Below are 22519 nucleotides of genomic sequence, written 5' to 3'. Positions count from 1 at the left end.
GAGAAGGAAGAGGACCTTGGTGTGACACGAGGCTGGAGAGACAGACAGGGACAACACATGTAGACCTTAAGGTCCAAGCTAAGAATTCTTCCCTGTGAGCAATGTGAAATTAACATAGAGTTGTAAGGAAGAAAGTGGCCTTATTAATCTTTAATATTTGTAGTATCTTAGGCACTTCTGATATTTTCCAAATAAACATGCTTTTAACATAACTTACCTACAGTGAACAAAAGTAGAAATTAAAGTGGAATAAAAAAGGGATTTGAAATAGAAATCTAGGAAAATATATATTCACATAACTACAGTCAGAGTAAAAAGAGTCACTGATTTTTAATGGTATTTCTGTTTTCTATGCTTAGTGGAAATATGAAGTGTTACAATTAAATAAAGGCATCAGTGCTAAATGTGCATCTGTATTCTGTGAGCTGTTTCCAGGCATACTAAATAAATATGAAAGAATATTCTTTAAAAACTCTAATATGCTTAAATTTCTTTAGTCTTCCAAATTTTTTTGAATTTCTGCACTATAAAAAAAACTTCTGCCATCACAATCAGGCAGAAAAAGCTTATTATAATTAAATTTCTTAGTTGAAAGTCTGAGAGCCTGTTTCAGCTAAGTATTTATTTATTTATTTTTTCTAAAGGAGTGCCAGCAGATTTTTGATGTGTGGGACCTATCACCTTTTTTACCACTTTGAAGACTAAGAGTTTGATCTGCAATTTACCATAGGCCTTACTCATTTCTCGGCTTTAAGATGTTCAGTCTCACTTATCTTTTATTCTGCTTAGGCCTAGCAAACAATTTACATTCATACTTTAGAAGATGGTGACTAATTTTCTTTTCTGAAGGACTGTTTTATCTGGAATGAACTGTTTTCTCGATTACTCAAACATAAATGCCCTGTTCTTTGTATTAAAATTAATTCATATATTAGGCCTAGAATTCTTGTTCTTTTCAAAAAGAAATTTAAACTAGGAAAATGTTGGTATCTGTAATATAAGCATATCAATGATGAAAACAGCATATTTGGAGTGGGCACAGTGGCTCATGCCTATAATCTCAGCACTTTGGGATGCCAAGATGGGAGGACTGCTTGAGCCCAGGAGTTGAGACCAGTCTATGGAACATAGTGAGACCCCATGTTTACAAAAAACAAAATTAAAAAAAAATTAGCTGGGCATGGTGGTGCATGCCTCTAGTCCCGGCTACTTGGGAGACTGAGTTGGGGGGATTGTTTGAGCATGGGAGGTTAAGGCTGCAGTGAGCCATGCACCACTGCACTCCAACCTGAGCAACAGAGTAACACTCTCTCAAAAAGCACATCTATAATTTTAAAAAGAAAAGAGTATATTTGATATAAGCATATCAATCATGAAAATAGATACCAGTATTAAGGGTGCAAGACACATGCCCAGGTAACAGACTAATGTAAACACAGAAAATGTTTGCTTCTTTCCAGTAAGCTTAAGATCCTGAGTATAAAGCATTTTCTGTACATAAAGCACATTTTGGGATCATTATATTTCAGTAAAGACAATATCATATTTTGTTGTGAATTACTTTAAATGAATACTATGTAGATCATTCATAATTTCAATCTCACATCCCCTGAGTATTAGTATTTATAGATGAGAAAACAAGGGAGGATGAACTCTGCTATTAATCTATTTGGAACATTATCTCACATCTTCTGACGCCTCTTGGTTGTATGCTACAATGTCATGGACCCTCTGTTTCCAAAAACGTACTCCCTGATAATGTAGCAAAAACATTAAGAAAAAAATAAAGATGGAAAGCTGAAAACCAGAGGATTCCTATTCTCAATGGTTGCTTTAGGCTGTTACAAATCATTATTTTCCAGTAGACATCATTCTTTGCATTGGAGAATAAGGTCTGTAGAAACCTGATAACATTAGCCAATGCAAATTAGATTATTCCCTTGCTGTTCCAACTTATTAAATGTACAACAGATGACTTCATATTTGCATTATTGGGAAATGGGCTTGTTAGAATTTTTGGCTCATATCACATGTATTGTATGTCATCACAAAAATAATTTAATACCCATTGCAAGTCTTCAATAGAATTAGAACTATAATCTCTTAAGTTAAATTCAATATAATCTGTGTTCCCAAAGATTGCAGGGATTAATATTTATGAAAAAATAAAGAAAAATTACCTGCTCCTCTGGTGTGATTAAAATCCCCTTTAATGATCTTGCATGATTTTCCATTGCCATTGCATACACCACAATGATCTTCTCTTGCAAGAGACCCTAATAAACCATCACAGCCAACTTTCTGTAACAAGAGAGTGACAGCACATCATAAATAGCAGTATTCTTTTCTTGTTTTACTACTAATTTGGGACAAACCTAGTCTCTATAAACCAGATATATTTAATTGTAAAACTTATGAAATGTCATATTATAAAATGTCATTCTCTGGTGCAAGCTAATACACAAGCCAATGTCAAATAACATAATCTGTAAAATTACCAAGATAGTGATGAGAGATAACCTACCTACCTTCCTTCCTTCCTCTCTCTCTTTCTTTCTTTCTTTCTTTCTTTCTTTCTTTCTTTCTTTCTTTCTTTCTTTCTTTCTTTTTCTTTCTTTCTTTCTTTTTCTTTCAGATGGGGTCTGGTTCTGTCACCTAGGCTGGAGTGCAGAGGCTCCATCTCGGCTCACTGCAACCTCTGCCTCCCAGGCTGAAGCCAGCCTCCCACCTCAGCCTCCCGAGTAGCTGGGACTATAGGCATGCGTCACCATGCTGGGTTAATTTTTGTGTTTTTTTGTTGAGACAAGGTTTCACCATGTTGCTCACGCTGGTCTCGAACTCCTGAGCTCAAGTAATCTGCCTGCCTTGGCCTCCCAAACTGTTAGGATGATAGGTGTGAGCCACTCTGACCAGCTTAGAGTATCTTTTATAGTAAGTATTAAATGATACCATAAAGTAATTTGGAAAAAATATTATTGAGAAAAATGCAATTTACATAAGTCTCAAAGGAAATCACATTTCTATTAAATACAACATGATTAGTTTAATTTCTTCTACTCAACAAGGAACAGATATACTTCACTATATGGATGGCTTAACTTTTAAAGTGATTGTAAAGTAAGTGCTAAATGGTAAATATTAACTTTCTGGAAAACTGAACATAGATGTTTATTTTTACTACAGTTCATGAATCAACTGTAGTTTATCCATCCCTATCTCCTTTGGCACCTAGCACATGAATGTGAGTAAGAACTCCTCACAACCTATGGCTGCTTTAAGAAAATATGAACAGTTGGGGAATTAATTTTTATAAGCCCCCAGAAGAATTTCGTTCATAGGAATCTTCTAAGGCCAAATCAATTGCCTCTTTTCTTGTAAATAATGTTTACTTCCCATTGATGAGGCAAAGCTGTACATACTCAAAGGGCAGGATTTAGTATGTCAGTACTGTCAGAAATAAATGGTAGTATTACATAATTCCTCCTAATTAAGAAGGATTTGGAACAGAGACTGATGATACATCCATTTATAATAGGTTCCAATTATTTTAGAGGAAATTTTAAAATATTAAATACAACTGAAACAAAAACAGAATCTTTGTGACTGGTGCTGCTGGTGTTGGGGTGGGGGAAGCTAGCAGATTATTAAATGCAGCCGCAGGATGAATGTGCTGGGAGCAAAAGTCACATTAAAACTGCACAATACAGCATTCCTTCCTTTTGTCAAGCGGGGCCTATCAGTGTCAAGAGGTACAAAGTGTTAGCACAAAACTCTGATCAGCAAGTCAAAGCTTATTCAGGGAGAAATAAAGAGAATGTCTAGATGAAAGAAGTAGCCACCACAGGAAATGAGCAGAACACAACCAAGTATGTGAAGAGAACATTAAGCAGAAGCCTGACCTGGGAGTCCTGGATTGAGAAGAAAAGTCTTTCCATGTTCCAATGGGGAAAAAGCTGAGGAGAGCTAGAGTACTTTTGAAATGATAAAAGTATCTTTATTGCTCTATCCCTGGTACCCAGATTGCCTCTTGGCAAATGGTGAGAAAACAGTAAGTAATAGTTCAACTATTAAATACGTTGGTAGTTAGTAGTTTCTTAGTTTTTCCCAGTCCTTTAACTAGGATATTACAAGGTCTGTAAATCTAAAGTAAAAGTAAGGAATAGACATATATACTACAGTTCAATAATCATATATTTTAAAAATAAAAGGTAAATATTTTGTATTTTATAATTGGTAGTTTTAAGTATGCACACATATCAAAATATGCTCACATAAATCCAAAAGTTGAAGATGAACTACTTTGAAGAGGCAATGCCTCGTGACTGGTAGCAAGTACCTGAGGTACCACTGGTGTGCGGGAGATACGCAAATAACATGATCATACAGGCTCCAGCCTTCCTTATCGTTTTCAGTAAGAGAAAATCACAGAACCAAAATGGGTCACCAGAGAAAGTTGTCTGCTTTCAATTGCCTTTCGTTCACTAAGTCTGGAATGCTACATTCAGCTTTGGTGCTATATATTTAGTGATAAAACTCTCTAGTCAAACCCCCAATTGTTGAGGGTTGTCAGAAAAACTAAAGAGGCATGTTTTCAATTTTACTGAAAGACTAAATGAAGCATTTTAATTAAAAAGCCAGAATCTTGAAGTGTTTTAATGCCATTATAAGCCACAATCCATTTCAAATAATTCTAATTTAATTATAATCATCAGGTCCACATAGCATTTGTGCAAAATCTTTGTTGTTGTTGCTATAATTTTAATTTTTACCCAGGGACTCTGTAAAAATTTGGCTTATACAATACTGTTAAGTAAAAAGCATAGCAATTTAGGCTATTATATTTGACATGCACAATTTAAGAAATAAATTCATTTAAGACATACAATAATCTAACAGATTTATATATAATGATGAGATGAAAGCTCTACTAGTACAGAATATAGTTCTGAAAACAAAATATGTATAGGTAAAATATCTATAATTTTTAATGAAAAACTACATTTTGGTAATTGCCGTATTCTGTTAAGGAATAAAATAAATTAATATGTAGTCAAAAGACTGCTTCTTATGCCAATGGTTTTACATGATTCTATGCTTTAAACTTTATAGCCTACTGGCAAAATATGGAATCTCAGAGCTGAGAAAGGATTTAAGTTTCGTGTTGTTCCCAGCTTCTTACCCAGAAGTACATACACTTCTATTGGATCATGGATTGATCCATTCATAGCTTGAAATTGTTTTCAATTTTTGGCATTTGTGTGCAGGTATGTGTGTATGTGTGTGTTCAGTTGTGCATTTTTACGAGGAAAAAAAAATTCATCAAATTCTCAAAGGAGTGTATATAGCACAAAGTCAATGACCAATGGTCTACCAACTTTGTTTTACAGATTAGTTCATGCATGCAAATATATTTTAAGTGATTTGCCCAGTTAACAGTTTCCTAAAGGCTGTCATGGATGCAGTGCCACTCCACTCAGCAGCCTCTTTCATTGCCAAAGGATTTATTTCTTTCCTGCTTCTGGAAGGTTTATCAGAAACTATCTAGACTAAGGAAACCTGCTTTCCCCAAGGTTGTAGCCACTTCCTGGGGCAGCTTGTATCCAAACAATAGTAGATGTTGAGAGTAAATGGCCTGATTTTCTCACCAAAATGGTAACAACTCTCAAGCCCCATGCCAGTTTAAGCACTTCCCACAGGGTCAGCTAAGGTCTTGTGACTGCACCAGAACCTGATTTCACCCTGTGCCCAAACCTGCCTCTTCCTTATCTCCACATAGATGTTGATCATGAAAACACTTGGCATTAAACTTTGTGCATATTAATCTTCCAGGGAATGTCAACTTGAGACAGTGGCAGAACCATGACTAGCAACTGCTCACTTCTACACTTTGATCTCTCCACTATGTTCTTCATAATCACTTTAACAGGAATTCTACTTTTTCTAAACATAGATGAAAAGCACATACATGCATATAAATGGAAATTTTTTAAAAGAGAGAAAAGCAAATAAAATGTTTATTAAAGAAAGTTGAATATGCATTTAAAAATCATCTGATTCAAGTATATTGATGATACTTGAATATGAGTTATAAGGTCAATTTTATTGATTTTTGACTCATGGCTCAGTCTTAGACACAAAGCATGGAGAACTAGAGTGCTTGAATTTTTGGTCTGAAATATTTTGACATAAAATGTCCAAAGTGCTCCAATTTTAAACCTGTAATATATATATTACACAATCAAAATCTCAGATTCTTTCAGTTAGTAATAGATTTTATGGAGTACCAAGTCAAACCCATTATTACACAGATGGAAAAATGAGGTTTCAAAGTAAATCAGACTTGCTCAAGGTCACAGTCAAGGCAGGACTATAGCAACATCTTTTGAATCTAAGTCCAAAGCTTTCCACCATGCTGTGAAGCTGCTCAGTGGTCCCACAATTTTCCTTCAACATATAAATTCTTTTTTTTTTTGGAATGTCTTACCTGGCACCTGCCATTTGCACAGATATCTAATCCCTGATAGCCACAAGAAGTTCCATCCATCACTTTTTCTGATAGAAGAATAGGCTGTTCTTTTCCAACAGGAGAGCAAAACAAGGCACATGGTTTTTCTACATACAGAGTAGATAAAAAGAAATGAGAAAAAGTTACCCCATAAATATTTTTATCTTAAGCTTCATTTTTAAGAATCGTTATTGAGTAAAAAATATAATTCAATGCTAATTAAGTAATGTAATGTTAGAGTAGATAACATTAGAAGATTTCTATGTGCAATAAATTAGGTGCCTGGAGATGTTTAATGAATATTAATCTTCTAAGAAATCTGGCTTCAAATTACCTTAAAATGTATCATTTGTTATTTTATGGCAGAACATATCTAGCACACACAATCCAGACCTCCTCCCTGAATAATATTGGCACACCCCAATTTTATGCTCATATTTTTTTTGAAATGATATCCTCTTCATCTTTAGTAGACACCAGGATTCTACCTGTCTTTAAGTCCTGGTTAAGATTTACTTCATGCTTGAATTATTTATTGATGTCTTACTTCTAAATTTCAATGTGCTAGTATTTATTTCTATATAGTTGACATTTTCTAATTGAAAAAATGTCTAAAGGGAGAAAGAAGAGCCTCTAAGATGAGAATTCTCATGAAATTTTCTGTTACTAGGATTGTAGTAAGAATTGCATTTGTAAAAAACATTTCTGTTACTAGGATTGTTACTACAATGCAACAGAAATATTGTTTTGAAATGCAATACCATCCCATGAGAGCATCCATAGTTATGCGCAACTGCTGATGTGCTAGTGAGAACTCTGTCCCCTTCACTACTTATGCAGAAACCATGTCGTTGTGTACGATATCTAGGTTGAGAACTTTTATTCCAGGTAAATAATTCCTAAGCAGCTGCGAGTCTTCTTTGTGCATCATTGAGCAATCAGATAGGATGTTTGGGGTTAAAACACTTGCCTTTTAGGCTCAGAAAGTGGCACGATATTTTTAAAGTGCTATGTCCATTTCTAAGCCTCCTACAGAGGAGCTGCAGTATTTGGTAACACTAGTAATACTATTATCCAAATCTGAAACGTCAGAGCAATTTCCATGCTACATTACTACTCTATTGGCTTGATGCCAGTCAGGTCCTTTACTGTTTATTAAGCTTATATAAATAGAATGGAAAAAAGTTTAAAGTCTCTGACACTGATCTTCCCTTATGTCTTCAGTAAAGTTCCACGTATGCTGATGGGATTCTATAAATACCAAATAACAGCCAGAGGCATGGAACAGGGTATCACTTTGCAAAGAGAAGACAGACAGTTAAATGAACCTTCAGAAGTGAACATTTCAAACAGTTTTCACATGTGGCTTCTGAATACTGCTCTCAACAATTTTGGGGAGTTGGAACATGGCCTTTAATGTGCATGGTTTTGAAATTTTCCTTTAAGATGCCATTATAAGCCGCAATAAAGCATTTCCGTGTGCTCTCACACCTCAAAGTAGGTTATGTTTATTCAATGACTGCTTACTATGTCATATCTTTGAACTTAAAAACAGCTGCTATAATTGCAACACTTTAAAAGTGGTATATATAATGCTCTTTCTGGAGTTTTCATTGAAGAGAAGAGCAAACCAGATATATGAATAAATAATATTGAAAGGAGTTAGTCTCCTAGAAAATTCCATTCATATTCCAAGCAAAAATTCAGATAAAAATCTTTTTATTTCTCCTTTTAAAACATATTGCCAACACACTCTGCTGACTTTAGCTGTACAGATGACATAAACATTTGATACCACTCTTCATTTCTGGAGTATACCCTCAAGGCTGTGACACTGTAGTGATCCATGTAACATGCCATACTTGGCAGGCAGGTTCTGTCTTGATTTAAGAGACCAACTCTTTCCAAGATATGCAATAGACATGGATTTCAGCCAAATTTTGGCACACACAAAGTATGTGAAATACCTGAATGTTGAAGCCATGCATGTCTTTTCTCTAAAAATAAATGTTCACTGCTGCATTGCTACCCCACATTTAATTCTCCTAGGCAGGGATTCAAGTATTATATAACAGATACAGCCACTTGTATTTTAAGGTGTCACATGTTTTTAAAAGAATTGTGTATTTCCATTTCTTCCACAGCGCTATAATACATGTAGGCTAGTGACTGTTGTATATTTTATTTGAAATATAGACTGATGAGTTTGATTGATACGTGTTGCAAAATCATCACAAATGGTAACCTGCTGATTATACAAATAGGTATTGTGGATTATTTTGATGATATACATCACTTTGTAAGAGTCAGAAGTTCCTTTAATTGTGATTTCTAACAGCTTTAGTGTTTTAAATTCATGCCCATCCAACTCTGATTTTTTTTTAATTTGGAGAACACCTATTTTCTATCTCTTATTTCACACGTAAGTAAATGGGTTTCAAATAAACTTGACATTATTAACTGTCACAGCCAGTTGGAAGTAGAGACAGGATTAACATTCAAATAATCAGAAAATTTTCATGATGTGAACAGTCATATTGATTATATTTTTATAATAAAAAGTTACTGGCTATGTATTCAAATTTATTTAACAAATATTCATTGGACACTTAATATACAGTAGATGATACACTAGGGACAGACATTAGAGGGAATGCAGACACAATAAAATGTGCTATTACAGGTTGTGTGTGTGGTACTTGGAAGGGACACATAATTTGGAGGATCAGAGGGATTCTTTCTTCCTAGAGGAACTGACATACACTGAACCCCAAAATCAGCAGAAGTGTTCAAGGTAAATAAATAAAGAACGATGTCAAAGCTTGAGAAGGAAAGCCTATTATGTCAAAACCCAGCTGGTATAAAGGCCCAAAAATAAGAGAGCAGATGTATCTAAGGGGTGGAATGGAAGTCAGCCTGGCCATATAGGATTCTATAAAAGAGAATGATGGAAATGAGGCAGGAGAAGTTAAAGGGGGCAGGACACAGAAATATCCTTATAAATCAGGTGATCAAGTTTGTGCAACTGAAAAGCAAGTGTTACCTTCAATGATATGGGACACACTAAAGAGGATCAAATGGACATGAATAGGAAGGGTTATGATCATGAGTTTGGTCTTAAACCTGCAGATATCCAATTAGATATATCAACAAGGGAGTTGTACATACAAGTTTGGAGCTCAAATGGAAAATCTAGTTGAAGACGTAAACTCATGTATTATTTGCATATTTGAAGTCATAGGAATAGATAATATCACCTAAAAAGAAAATGCACAGTGAAAACAGAATAGTGTTTGAAGTAGGCAGAAGGAGAACATACCAGAGATGTAGTAGGAAAGCCGGGTAGGTGTTAACAACACAGCAACCAAGCAGGGCACACGAGTGTTCCAAGAACCATGGGGGTGGGCAGCCACCTTAATGTATTTAAGAGTCAACTAAGAAGAGGATGGGAAACTATTTATTAGGTTTTGTTTCCATGAGACTCCTGGATGACATTAGAAAGACTTGTGTTGGTGGAATCCAGATTGAAGGGAAAAACACAAAGGGCTGGGATATAGGCAGGTCTTTTGAGAAGGGTGGTTGTGAGGAGAGAAACATGTAGGTGCACCAGCTCAAGATGGCTATGATCTTGAGGGGAAGTTTTTATGTTTTAGTGGGAGAGTCTTAAATATGTTAAAAAATTAAATGTGAATGATCCAAAACAGAGAAGATTAACTATATGAGAGAAAGTGGGGGTAATCAATAAGATAGCTGAAAGAGGAAGATGGGGATGGCATCAAGGCCACAACTGGAGGGACTGGCCTTGGAAAGGAGGAATTAAAATTCTGCCATATAGCAGAAAGCAGATGAAGTATCCTACGTTAGGCTAACGTGTCTTGATAGCAGAAAATAAGGAGGTAATCTGGTGGCTGCTATATTTCCCCCCACCACCACTAGTAGTGGAATAATCTGCCCTATTGTTTGGCTGTTTCCATTAGTGCTTGTATGTAGGTGCTACTGTGAGAAAAGGGTTTCATCAGATGGGGGCACTGAAATGGACAGGCAATGGAGTTTAGGTTATTGAGAAGAGTGTAACTGGAATGATGGAAAGCAAAGTTCAAATTGACTAAGGGGAGAAAAGAGAGACTAGTGGCATCATAACCAATGAAATCAGATGATCTGTCACCACTTTTGGTGGCTGCAACTCAGCCCACACCCACAGCCCACTCACCATGGGCAAGTATTATCATTTTTCTTTTCTTTGAGACAGGGTCTCACTCTGTCACCCAGGCTAGAGTAAAGTGGCACCATCTTGGCTCACTGTAACCTCTGCCTCCTGGGCTTGCCTCAGCCTCCTGAGTAGCTGGGACTACAGGCACATGCCACAACACCCAGCTAATTTTTTTTTCTGTATTTTTGGTAGAGACAGGGTTTTGCCATCTTGCCCAGGCTGGTTACAAACTCTTGAGCTCAAGCAATCTGTTTGCCTTGGCCTCCCAAAATGGTGAGATTACAGGTGTGAGCCACCTTGCTTGGCATATCATTCTTAACTAATAAGGCAGCATACAATTTTCTTAAAATTCTTATTTTGAAATAATTAAATATTTGGAATAACTTGCAGAAATAGTACAGAGAGTTCCCACCTACCTTTCATTCAGTTTCTCCCCATGGTTATACCTGAGCAACTATAGAACTACAGCAAACCCAGGAAACTGGCATTTGTACCTGTGTGTGTATAGCTGTACGCCATTTTATCACATTTGTAGATTTGTGCAACCACTGCCGCAATCAAGGTCTGAAACTATTCATTAGCACAAAGATCTTCCTCATTCTACCCCTTTATAGTAATACCCATCCCTCTCCCCACCACCATCCCTAATCCCTGGCAACCACTAATTTGTATGAATTTGTTTTCCATCTCTATAATTTTATAATTTCAAGAATATTATCACATGAAATCACATAACATGGGACCTTTTGAGATTGGCATTTTTCACTCAGCATAATGCTCTGAGATCTATCAGGTTGTTGCATGTATTAATAGTTTGCTCCTCTTTAGTGCTGAGGAGTATTCCATCACTCAGGAGTATGATTTCTGTATTGTTAGTGTATGTTTAGTTATTTACAAAACTGTCAAACTATATTTTCCAAAGTGGCTGCACGATTTTACAATCCCACCAAGCAATGCCTGAGAGATCCAGTTTCTCCTTATCCTCACTAGCAGTTAGTGTTGTCACTGCTTTGTATTTTAGTTGTTCTAATAGGTATGGGGTAACAGCTCCTCATATTTTTAAAATATATTTTTGTCAGTGCTTGTGGTTATTATATGTCCATACAGGTAGAAAAAATTAAAGTTCAGAAATATTTTGAAGATAATAGGTAAAATAATCTGACTATTGTAAAAACACTTCGCAAACCTAGAAATCTAGTTAACAAAGATGGTGGTGATCTGGTTGGTCATACCTTCATCCAGGACAGCTTGCCACTGAAGTATATGCTTTGGGGAGGAAGTTCTAACACTATAAGCCTGACATTGCCAGTCTCTGAATCCAGGCAAACCTGCAGGACAAGGTGGATTCTCACATATTCTGTATTGTTTTCTGGGACCATTACAATCCCTTGCTTCAGAATCTAGCCTAGAAAAGAAAGTACAAATAATCAATTTTATGTTTTTTATGTTAACTACCTAGGTTTTAAATTAAAAGCCATTATATTAATAATATATAACCCCTTATATTATATTTACTTTTGAAAACTTGGACACATTAAATGATAGTAGTAGCAAATTCATATATTTATTTCTTTAACTATATATATTTTCTAATCCTTGATCAATATACCTTCCAAAATATATGAGGAATAAAATCCCACTTGCCATGAAAATGATACATTAGAGTAAAGGGCAGAAACTGAAGGGAAAATAGAAAGCCTTCAAATGCCCATTAAGAAATTTGGTTCTTAGAATTTTTAAGGAGGTGTTTTTACATAAATTCATATAAATTCTTTAAGACTGCATGTGACCTCTACACCAATAGAGTTTAAAGCTCACAAGCTGGAATGACTTTCTCATACTTTGCTAGAATTCCTCTAGGAATAATGGGGTTGAACAAGCTGATCCCATAATAATTCCTGTCTGTACCTGTGCTTAGCATGTTTCTGTTTTTCGTTAGTCTTAGCTTTTGCTGTCATTAATTTTGTTCTCATTCTCTTTCTTATCATCCTTCTGCTCTTCTCCCAGTTCCTGTAAATGTTCACATAATTTTTCTAATACACATCTTCCTGTTTATTGAAATATTTTATAGATTTACTCAAGAAATAACCTTTTATAGCTTTCATTACTTATTCTTAGAAGGGTTGGTCTTTATTTTCTTCTTAAAGGCAGTTTTTATATAAAATAAATAATTTGAAGGACTTTTCTGTTTTCCAACGTGAGTAGAGTTTGAGGAGCTTCTTTTGCTTTCCAACATGCTTTATCAGTAAAACCTTTGCATTCCAAAATTGAAAAGTGCCCTCCCCCAACCAGGAACTTTGAGTTTACCCAGGACATTTGCGCTCTCGACTGCTGATCCCAGCACTGCAGGTTCGGCTACAAGGACTCCACAGGCTCCACTCTCCGGCCAGATGTTCAGGTGCTGAGGTCCTGCTGGTACATTCTCCAGCCTTACACCACTATTCCAAAAGTTATGTCTTAGGTGAACAAATCAGGGCACAACTGAAAATCATTCGCTGGCCTATAATGTCACTGGAATTGCAATTAAATCAGGTCTACTAGAGCCACAAACATGGGGAATTAGGAAAGACCAAAAATAAGTTGGCACTTGTTTTTTGTCATAGTAATATAATTGCCCAGTTCTCACAGATACAGTCTTGTTGGGAAAGCAGTGCGCAGATATTTGTTACTATAGCCCTAAGAATTCAGTTTTTGTGATGGAGACAGGGTAAAGATTATGGGTAGGGAATCTGAGGTTGCACAACCAGGAAAGAAAATCCAACACATTTAAGAAACCGATAATAATTTAAAAGGGACAAAAAAATCAGAGTAATATATAAGAATGGAAACAAGAAATAAATGTCCTACGTCAAAGCAGACATTTTTAGCAAATTTAGTAATTTTCGTATGAAATGTCAGTGACTCAGGGTACTTTTTTAACTTGTAGTTTTTAAAAAGTACTGTTTGATTTTAGCACTTTCCTTTATGCTTTTTTTTTTTTTTTTTTTTCTGAAAGAATTCCCATCAAGTTCAAACATTAACATTACAGCAAGTTGGTTTGAAAGACGTGGGCAATTAGATGCTGAAATTCTGTTATTTCATGCCAATTATTTTATACTTTACTTGGTATCTATTAACTGGTAAAGATAACTGGAATAAGAGAAAGAAGTGTAGTCATTCTCTTTTTTATTTTTATTTTATTTTTTCATTCACTGAAAACAAAAGCAATGAGAGAGATTGCTGATGGTCACCCAGGAATGGTTGCTAGAATTTGGGGGACAGGTTATTAAAATTTCTCCTCATTCCTGAAAATCAAATAGATGATGGTCGTAGCAAACATGGTAAGAGTAACAAAATCATATTGAGAATAATAAGTAAGATTACAAGCATTTAGATTAGTGATTGTATAACGATGAGGTTGAGTAAGTTGATCCTCCTAGCCCTAAATGAACTTCTACACTTAATGGCAACACAATTTACAAAGGATTTTGAGGAAATTACAGAAATGCTCTGATTCTCAGCTTGCTCATTTCTAAAATGTGAATGATAATCATAGTTACCTAACAGTTTTTTTTAGGAATTGAATGAAAGACTAAACACAATGTATAGCCCTTACTAAGGATTTAATAAGGGCTAACTGTAATAATAATAGAGTTATAAGTATCATTATGTTAATAATTTCAGAAATCTAAGCAAAATTCTGTTCATTCTGATATTTATTCATCTGTTTTTAGAATTTACTTGATAATATGTTTTTATTGCTGTTTTTAGAAAAGAGAATTAAAACTATACCATATAGTTTTGTGTGGGCCCTGTTAGTGCTTTACTTTTATAGGCCATAAAATAATTAGTCTCTGTAGATTTTCTCTAATAATGTCAACATTTAAATTCAACCTCTTTTAGATTCAAAAAGTTTTTAATCTAAACTTGAAAAACAAAATAAAGATCAACAACTCAGAGAATATCAATATTCTAAGATTCTCATTAAATAAATTTGGATTTTGTACAAAGATGCAGTTTAAAAATTGGAAAAGGAGGCCGGGCGCGGTGGCTCACGCCTGTAATCCCAGCACTTTGGGAGGCCGAGGCGGGCGGATCACGAGGTCAGGAGATCGAGACCATCCCGGCTAAAACAGTGAAACCCCGTCTCTACTAAAAATACAAAAAATTAGCCGGGCGTAGTGGCGGGCGCCTGTAGTCCCAGCTACTTGGGAGGCTGAGGCAGGAGAATGGCGTGAACCCGGGAGGCGGAGCTTGCAGTGAGCCGAGATCCCGCCACTGCACTCCAGCCTGGGCGACAGAGCGAGACTCCGTCTCAAAAAAAAAAAAAAAAAAAAATTGGAAAAGGAGAAAGAAACCATGTGAAAACTTCTACATTACTTACTTGTTTTAAGGACTTAAAAAAGTTATGCCATTCATGGAAAAAAAAATTCAATGTGAAAGTTGTCAAACTTCAATTGGTCACATTGTTTTAGCCTACTTTAAGGGTGTTTATGTTTCCCAGAGTGCATATCATACCTCCTTGGCCATTTAGCAGCAAGCTGGCATTGAAAGACTGGGCTAGAGTTCATAACAGACTAAAATATTCTGGAAATCACTGGGACCCAGATTTGTACATCATTTAAACAATGACACATCTGGCTGATGAAGAGAAATGGATACAGAAATGCAAACCTATTTGCATATACACATCAGTGAAATTTGAAGAAAGTACTACAGCATAGTATTTAAAGTTTGTCACCTTGCAGATAACCAGATGTCTGGATGAAGCTAGAGGGTACCTGCTTTTGTGTCTTCTATATGGTTCTGTGCTTCAACAATGAGGAAAGTGTTAAATGTTTTGTTTAAACTATTATACAATATGTTATATAAGATTATATGTAAAATAATCCCAATGATGCTTTCCATAAATATCATTAGGGATATTATGGAGAGCAGCATGATTTGTTTCATACAACGTTTGCATTTTTTAGCCTCAAAAAAGAAGTTATGTATTGTTGAAAACACTAAAAAATTGTCTTATCTACTAATTCAATCTGATTTATAAAAGTACTAAGGGATTATGTAATATAGACCACCTGGGGACAGTGCATGACCCAACACACTAATTATAGTTCTATACTCCTAAATTTTTATGTGGACATGTATAGGAAGTTCATGAAAACACACATTTGAAAGGGGTCTGTGAAGATGTCAAAGGAGCCTGAACAGTCTCTGATCAAATCTTGTACATATATTGTGGAAGAGAGAAGAGGAGGAAGGCAGGGAAAAAGCTGTGTACATATGCACATTGTGACTGTTAGGATATTACAGTCTTCATTGTTTCCAATAATAAATTATGATGGTAATTTCAAGATTCTCAATTTGGGAAAATAAATAACTAAAATATATTACATAGAATCCTTCCAAACAGTCTAAGGTTCTAGTAAATTGGTATTTAATGTCTCTTTCCGCTCTTTTCATTTCTAGTAAGTACTGTAAGTAAAATACATACATTTATTATTTTTGAATAAATCATTTGCCCACTACTTAATCTCTTTGAAATGTAAATGCCAACACATTGATATTTGTATTGTAAATTGAAAAATATGAAAATTATATAAAAATTATAAAAAGAGAAGAAAACAAGTTGTTTTCAATTTGCATTATGCTGTCCATAAAGAGTATATAAACCTCTTTGTTCAAAATCATTCAGAAGCATAGAATTCTGTAAGCACCTTCTCAGATGTAATTATATACTCTTAGATTAACTAGATTTATACAGTTTGATTAATATCACTAGAGTGTTATCAGTTACAAAATCCCAAGCTTTGTCTCTTGGTTAGCAATGTATTGAGCTTGCAGTGTTTGGTGTGAGGTTGCAAGCATTCAAATATTTTAGCACTACTGCACACAATGGCAGAGTGTTGGAAGCTATTTTCACGATGGCTTCTAAAAGAGCTGAAACAGATGAATATTTGAAGAAGCCCACATGGCCTGGAAAACTGAGAGGTTCATTAGTTATTTCAATATACAAAGCATTACAGAACCTCTAAGAGAGTTATCATTAACACAATTATAGGAAAATAAAACTTTTTACTTTTGTTTAGTAATTACAGTTTTAACTGCCAAAATAAGTTTACTTTAAAGATTTCAAGATTGCAAATTATGTTTATATATACAAGGGAAAAAATCATAGCAGAAAAATATTGAAGGTGCCAGATATAAAAATAAAGATATTTTTATATTGCTAAAAAACTAAAGACAAACAAGCTATGTGATGTTTGAGGGCTCATCGCAGTATGTTTGGTTATCTCTTAATATTACTGCTTTTGTGTTTCAGGGATGATAAAAATGATTGCTGGTGCAAAGTTTTATGATTCAAGCAATAAATTAGCACAATATCAGGAGACTTGCTTGATATACACAGGTTCTTATACTTTTGTGTATATATTTAAAAAATAAAACAGACCCAAATTCTGATGCTTTGTTTAAGCTTATAGGAAATATTTGGCACAGTCTGTAAACAATTAACTGATATTTCACAGAAATTCCCTCTAAGGAATCATTTTCTTATTGATAATATATAGTGATAAAATATTTCTAGTTTTTTTTCAAAAATAGTTTGGATTTAAACAATTTGTACATTTTTTCTTTTCTAATTAAAGAAATCATAGAAGTAATAAATCACTGCATGCTTATGTCAAACAATCCAGAAATGGCTGCAGAAAAGTTATATTCACCCATCCCTCTCATTGATGTACTCCCAGCCATCAATCCATCAATTCTACTTCCCTCCCAAGAGGTAACTTCTAATTACACTTTGGAGTTTTGTGTTTATATTTTCTTTTTTTTTTCTTTTTTTTTTTTTTTTTTTGTCTTTGAAACAAGGTCTGGCTCTGTCGCCCAGGCTGGAGTGCAGTGGTGCAGTCTCGGCTCACTGCAACCTCTGCCTTCCAGGCTCAAGCAATCCTTCCACCTCAGCCTTCTGGGTAGCTGGGATTACAGACATGTGCCACCAAGCCTAGCTAATTTTATGAGTTTGAAAATATATACTTGTGTGTGTGTGTGTGTGTGCTTTTGTGTGTGTATTCACATCTGTATACACACTGTGTTTTCCTTAAATGTCAAACTGTATTGTAAAGTATCAAAATTTCTGACATGCCTATCAACTAACAGCCATGTCTTATAGATCTCTTCAGGTTAGAACATATGTATCTCCCTCATTTTTTAACAACTACATTGTGACCATTTGTCTCCTAATGAATATTTTTATTGTTTCTCACTTCTCACCATTACAAACTGCATCCTTGCCTAAGCATCTGTGTGTGCATGTGTGAGTGTGTGTAGGTGCGTCTGTGTGTGTACTTTCTTAAGACGAATTTCTAGAAGTTAATAGCTTCATTTCTGTCCATTTTTCAAATCGATATGTTTTTAAAATAAAACTCCACCTAATTTCATGTTTTCTTCAAGTATTTCACCATAAGAAATCTATAGGTTCTTTACGTTGCTATTTATTTTCAAATGTAATACACATTCATGCTCTTCAGAGGCAAGCTTTCTGATCTTAACAATTGAGTACAGTGATAACAATTCTACTTTCCCATCACAGTATGCAAATTAGAAAATTATGTAAACTATTGATCTGTTATCTTTTGATTATGTTAACCATAATTATTAAATACATGTGAAATCCATCTTCTTCATATTCCTCAAAGGAAAATTAATTTTCAAAAGCAGTTATTTAGATCTGGAAATGTATACTAACAAATTTTTAAAGCCTTATGAAGTACATTAAACTACACAGACAGCCAAATATTTACTAATCTCCAAATGTCAACTGGAATATTTTATGGATGATTATTATATTGACAAAGAAAAAATACTCAGTTGCTCTCCTAAGTCAATTATTTTATACTTGAAAAGATCCATTGGCAATGAGAAATTTTACCATTTATGCTATTATTTGTGCTTAATTTACTTCTGTTTAAAAAGTAAAAAAATTCACATTTTTGCTATATTAATGCATATATATGACTCTCAACATTCTCACAACAAATAAAATAACAAATAAAATAAAACCTCACCACATTGATATTAACAAAACAACCATGGATTTTAAAAAGTATAAATGTTAAAACTGATGAAATACTAATATTTTTGTATATACTGTTATTATTCCATCAGTGCTAAGATGAATACAAATGTAACTGGCAGAGAAAATGCAAGATTCTCAAGTTTCATCTAGTATGCTCATTAAATTCAGACAACACAAATGACTTACCTTACCAAGGTCACAGTCAGTTCCATCCATTGGTGGGTCTAGCTTGGTTCTGCATTCTTTCTCACCTTCTACCTTGCACCATAATCCTGTGCAAATAACATGCTGAAAACAAAGGCACAATAACTAATAAGGGGAAGGTATCACATTTTTTTAAGTGAAGCCAATCATTGTTAAGAAAGCTATTTTGATAGAATAACAAAAATTATTTGAAGAAAAATATGCTTTAGGTAATTAAAATATTAAATCTGTAATTGAAATAGTATAGGGCTCATTTATAGTGATGGGAAGATTGATACATAATGATAGAAAAATCTATTTCATAAAGTTAAATCTTTTAAAACTTCCTTAAATAAAACACATATGGTTATACAAGATGATGTAGATACAACAGAAAAAATTAAGACAGAAATCATCATTTATATGCTATGACACATGGACCAGGCTGGAAGAATAAGTGTTTGTTTTTGTGTTATAAATTCAGTGTCTGCTGCCCTAAGGTCTATTCCCACTTATGCTCTGCTTTTATGCTTAAATGCCATGGTTAGTACTTTATTAATTCATTATATAGTCTTGACCCCTGACACAATATAGTCTTAGTGTGTATGTTTCTGTAAATTGTTATCAGTACTTTTTACTTCAGTATGAAGGATTTTTACATTTTCAGAACACAATGAAATTTTTTCTACGGAAATGTTAAAGGGAATAAAAAATACTTGGATAAGGCAGCTGAAACATGGCAACAATAAGCAAAGATAACTCTGAGGAAATGTAAAAGAAAAATTGTCAAAAACCTTAGACAGCTATAATTGTGGTCAGCTCAGAGACATAGATATGAAGAGGCCAACACACATATTAATAAAGACTTTCTATTTCTGTAAGGTGGTTGACATTTTTTAGACTCACACATATTGTTAACAATTGTACAGAAATATGAAATCCATAAAGGACATTTAAAAGTGACTTAAAAATTTAGCTGAGTGTGGTGGTGCACACCCATAATCCCAGCTACTCAGGAGGCTGAGGCACGAGAATTGCTTGAACCCGGGAGGCAGAGGTTGCAGTGAGCTGAGACCGTGCCACTGTACTCCAGCCTGGGTGACAGGGTGAGACTCTGTCTCAAAAAAGAAAAAAAAAAGTAAGTTGAGTATTAAATCTGTAGTGAAGATGACTGTGTTACTACCTATCCAGATACTGGGAGAAGAGAGTGGAGGAGAACAGGTCAATAAAGACAGAACAAGTAGAAATGGGGAAGGCATAGTTATGAAAAGGTGAGCAGACTGGTGCAAAGGGAGTAGGAATATCATGGGGGAGAGTAGTAAAGAACAAGGCTGAAAAGACAGAAGAGCCAGGAAAGACTAGGGACTTTATGTTTGTAGGGAAAAATAAGCCATTTAGCAGTTGACCAGCAGCAGATTGATAAGATAATAGGTTATTTTAGGAAACTTATTCTGGTGTTGGTGTTCAAAATAGACTAAAAATCACAGCAAAATTAAAGTCAACTTATGACCCAAATCTATTAGATATATTTGAAGAATATATTTAAATTGTAACAGACCTATTTGAAACATACATTCTTTCAATATATTAATATTTAATTACCCTAATACTTACTTTGTTGCAAATCCCAAAATATTATTTTCCTATACTTTAGATTTCTGAACTGTTTGTAAGCTTTTTTTAACAACAATTTACTGTATATTTCAAAATATCTAACAGTGAAATTGAAATGTTCCTAACACAAAGAAATGACAGATCCAATGAAATTCAAGTCTATGGAGAGAGTGAGATATATTTAATTTACCTTATTTTCTTTTCTGTGACTTTTTTTCCAGCTTCAAAATATGTCACACAAATATATCTTATTATATTTAGGATATGGTTTAGCTTAACTAGTGTGCTTCTTCTAACTGCCCATAGCATTTACCAAAAATTCACCTAGAAAATTATTGTAAAGAATGCCTATAAATCATATTGCCCCTTTGTAATATTTTAAACTATTGAAAATAGGCAAAGAGTTCAATTGTTTTTCATGTACTTTTGTGGAGACATTTAAGAGTATTTCAATTAACAGATGTCTAACCTGAGCATTTTTGATTCTAAAAATATTTCACCCATCTAGGAACTTTCTGTCAAGGATGTTTGATAATTATGGGGTCAAATGTTGATTTTTCTTTAGAAGAAAATTCAAAGAAGAATTTTTCTTTACTTGCATTTAATAAAACTTAGTTATCTCATAACAATAATTATTTTATTCAAGTTCATTAGTTAACCAATGCATACTGAACTGAAAAAGCAAATCTACACTGTAGTTTTGGAATAATGCTTGCTTGTTGAACGTTGTTGGTGGTCTACATTCTGCCCTTCCACCATTATCTGCTGCTATTTGAAACGGCAGGTACTCTCATTGATTCCCACTTGAGACACTCAGAGCATACAAGCAAACTTGGCAGCTTTTCAAAAGAAGCATGGTCACGTAGAATAAAATCTCTCTCAGAGATGTCTTTTACCCTTTCTGTTCTGCAGGTCTAGGGATCTTATGGTAAATAAATTACAGCCTCGGTCTTAAAAATAACTCAGATTTAGAAGTTCAAACCAAAATCCCACAAGTAAGGCAAGAAAATGTTGAAGAAATAGTATGGATAGTTTTCACCTTGAAAAGTGGAATACCTCAGATATGTCACATTAGAGGTACATAACAGCAAGCCCTTTCTAAAGGGCAGAATGGGGCATTACGGGTATTATATTAGAGACAAACACTGTCCATATGTTACACAGGCAAGGGTCAAATATTTTTTTCAACTTAGTTGCTGAAACCACTTAATAGGTCAGTTACGAAAATAACTCTATAACTTAAAATGCTTGGCATAGGAATCCACAACAGAGATGCAAAACCCAGCATTTTCTCGCAAACTAATAAAAATAATACGATATTCCTTTGTTATGCTTCTATAGTAAAAAGAGTTTATTAAAAGAATATAATATGTACTTGGATGTTTATCTCAAATAGGTTTTTAAATATTACATAAATGTACTATGTATTGAAATGGAAGGTTAATTGTCCTGTACAAATATTATAAAATTTATCTTCAGAGCTAACCTGTGCCCATGCCTTTCTTTATAGCAAATAGTTCCATTAAGATGTTCTGAAATTTATGTTAAAATAAGACAATTTTAACTGCGTATGCATTGAAGTAATAATTAATCCTTGGACATATAACTACCTTCTTTTCCCTGCATTACTCTCTACAATACATTTTCAATAACTTAACAGATTGCAAAGGAAATTCAGATATAAAATAAAATTTTAGAAACATTCTTTTCTAATAACAGAACTTTATTATAATTATTAGAATAGCTTGTGTGTGTGTGTGTGTGTGTGTGTGTATGTGTGTGTGTGTGAGACAGAGAGTACTAAAATAGGAAACAAAGACTCAAAAGGGAAAATAAAGCTGAATTCTAATTCTTTATAAAGACTAATATAATTGAAAATTAATCAAGCAAAAAGAGAAGGCAAAAATAAATACTATTAGGAATAACAAATGAGGGCATAAAAGATAACAGT

At 34.3% G+C, this 22519-nt stretch overlaps 1 protein-coding gene across 12 annotated transcripts in view; it reads right to left on the bottom strand.

The window, feature by feature from the left end:
• ADAMTS19 (ADAM metallopeptidase with thrombospondin type 1 motif 19) overlaps positions 1-22519 on the bottom strand; it is a 278386-nt gene that overhangs the window by 77766 nt on the left and 178101 nt on the right. For all 12 annotated transcript variants that reach the window (XR_007058587.1, XM_047416876.1, XM_047416878.1 and 9 more), the window contains 5 exons: positions 18958-19059; positions 13023-13153; positions 11948-12120; positions 6485-6612; positions 2181-2301 (listed from right to left, as the gene is read on the bottom strand). Coding sequence is in view for 11 of the 12 variants with exons in the window: in XM_047416876.1 (XP_047272832.1) it covers positions 2181-2301; positions 6485-6612; positions 11948-12120; positions 13023-13153; positions 18958-19059 (655 nt within the window). In the remaining variant the exon portion in view is untranslated. The remainder of the gene's footprint in view (positions 1-2180; positions 2302-6484; positions 6613-11947; positions 12121-13022; positions 13154-18957; positions 19060-22519) is intronic.

Source organism: Homo sapiens, chromosome 5, assembly GCF_000001405.40.
Source record: "Homo sapiens chromosome 5, GRCh38.p14 Primary Assembly".
Taxonomy (NCBI): Eukaryota; Metazoa; Chordata; class Mammalia; order Primates; family Hominidae; genus Homo; species Homo sapiens.
The sequence above is the reverse complement of the archived record's forward strand: the minus strand, read 5'-3'. Positions and strand labels throughout refer to the sequence as shown.